Consider the following 2234-nt stretch of genomic DNA (forward strand, 5'->3'; position numbering starts at 1 on the left):
CAATAACAAACAGGGGCCAAGGGATGGTTCAAAACACACAGTTCTTTATTTGTATCCTCCAAATAGATAGATTGGCATCGGCACCCGCCAAGTTTTTGACGTCTAAGGGTGAGGGAGGCGGCCAATGAAAGTCAATAAAAACAGATTATTCAGAGCATTTCCCTGAACTGGCGTAGTAGGTTGGGAAGAAATGCTTTTGCAAGCATTCACATCAACAACTTTGAGGATGACAGGAGGAGACATCATGGGGCTGGACTTCAGTTGTACCTCAGCCCAGGTAGGCGTGCATCGGCTGACTAACCTGTGCAGCCAGGTGTGCAGGTGCCCAATCACCATGAGCCAGAGGCGGAGTCAGAATCCACCCTCATCGTTGTCGGTCAGGATGTTGCAGGAGGGAGGCCAGGAAAGACCTGGGGGCTCCTGGTGTCCCATATATCTCCTGGGAAGAATACTTTGGAGGGGCAGGTGACTTAAGGCAGACGGGGGCATTGTCGACCCCCTATGGAGGGAATCCCGAACAAACGCGCCTTGCCTTTTCATGGGCGAGGGAACCAGGAGGGAGAGGCAAGGAGCTAGGGGTGCAAAGAACTGAGCCAGAGCGGAGCGATGAGCCTTCGCCAGCCCCGGGAGGGCGCCTCCAAATGCAGGTGCCTGGGCTGGGAATGCGGAGACTCAGCACAGAAGGTCGGCTGGAGGCCTGGGCTGCAGGTGCCTGGGTTGGGAAAGCGGAGACTCAGCACAGAGGCCTGGGCTGCATGCCCCTCATCCGCTAACGTGCACGCCTGTGGGCTGGGTGTCAGCTTGCCCCATGAAAACTGCCTGGCAGCCTTGTCGCTGCCCATGTGCGCACATGACGCCTCCCTGGGCCCTTGGAATGATCGAGCTCATGTAAAGCTTGAATCGCATATTTGACATCATGCTCAAGCCCGTGGGGCTGGGCGGCCAGTGTGGATGTACTTACCTGCTCTGCCAGTTAGGATCTGGGTAAGCTCTGGGGACTTGGTCAACCTCTCTAAGCTTCATTCTCTGCATTCTAAAAGTAGGGATGCCAGCTGCTCATAAGCGTTAAAATAACACTTCATGAGCTCAGGAGTGAAGAGCAAATCAAGATAGTTTCAGACAAAAGCGAACGAAGACAATTTGATTCCAGCGGACCTACCCTGAATAGCTCTTCATGTAAAGTGTGCACCCCGTGTCTGGGTGTCATAAAGTCTCCGTACATTTCACACATGAGATTGTGACCCCATGTTCTCCCCCAGATATGCAATCTCAGAAAAAATGTATCTTTCACAATTATATATATTTTCTTGATTTCTTTCAAAAAGCCTGTGCTTAAAATATTTGATCCTCTGGTGCATGTTCCTAAGACTAATTTGTGGCAAAAAAAATAAAGCCTTCTCCGTTATCAAATTCTTCAATTTTCAATAAATCGAAAGTTTAAAATAGATAGTCTCCATTTTTCCTGCCAAAGCATATTCTATGATTACATTAAATTACACTGCATTTTAAAGAGATTTTCCATTTCTTTTTTGAATATTTAATCACTCACATCTCATAACAACCAGGTGACAACCATTTATTTAGCACGTTTTTATACATATTTACAGCCATTAAGGTGGAAGGAGTAAGAGCTGGAAAAAAATGGAAAAGAGAAATAATGAAGTAAAGCTGCATTTTTATGCTTGCACTCAACCTGGGAGACCAAGATTTCATTAGACAATGAGGGCATGTAGTTACCGATGCTACGGCAGATTTTGTGAAAATAGAAGTATGTAATTGGAAAGATTAAAGAGCATTCGTTTTAAGACTGTGAGAGAATGAAGATCAGAGTGGAGAAGAGCCAATCATTTAATAAATGTAACTGTACATTCTCCATGTACTTTTCACTTATCTAGGTTAATTGGAAAATAGAAGAACCCTATAATGCAGGAAAGAATGAAGATAATGCCATATAAAGCTTGAAACCAGTTGCATCAGTATGTGAAAGAGGTAGACAACATAGAAGTAGTCAGGGACATGTGGAGAGTGTGGACACAATTTGGAGAGGTTTTTGTTTTGTTTTGATTTTGTTTTCCTTTTTGTTTACAGTGGGTGTGGCTCAAAGTGCAGAGGATAAAGGAAAATCTGAGATGAAAATGATCTCTGCTATCTTCCTCAATTTGTTTATAAAATCACGATCATAATAATTTGTAACTTAAATATTATTGTGATAATTTAATGATCAAGCCAATATA

General features: G+C 44.4%; 1 annotated feature.

Moving 5' to 3' along the window:
• Nucleotides 635–831: a silencer, noted in NCBI's record as "fragment chr7:53155076-53155272 (GRCh37/hg19 assembly coordinates)". NCBI's record gives its function as "represses an EF-1alpha promoter that drives an FKBP-Casp9 reporter gene in an ReSE screen in K562 erythroleukemia cells {active_cell/tissue: K562}" and the evidence as "EXISTENCE:reporter gene assay evidence [ECO:0000049][PMID:32094911]".

The sequence above is a fragment of the Homo sapiens genome, chromosome 7 (assembly GCF_000001405.40).
Source record: "Homo sapiens chromosome 7, GRCh38.p14 Primary Assembly".
Lineage (NCBI taxonomy): Eukaryota > Metazoa > Chordata > Mammalia > Primates > Hominidae > Homo > Homo sapiens.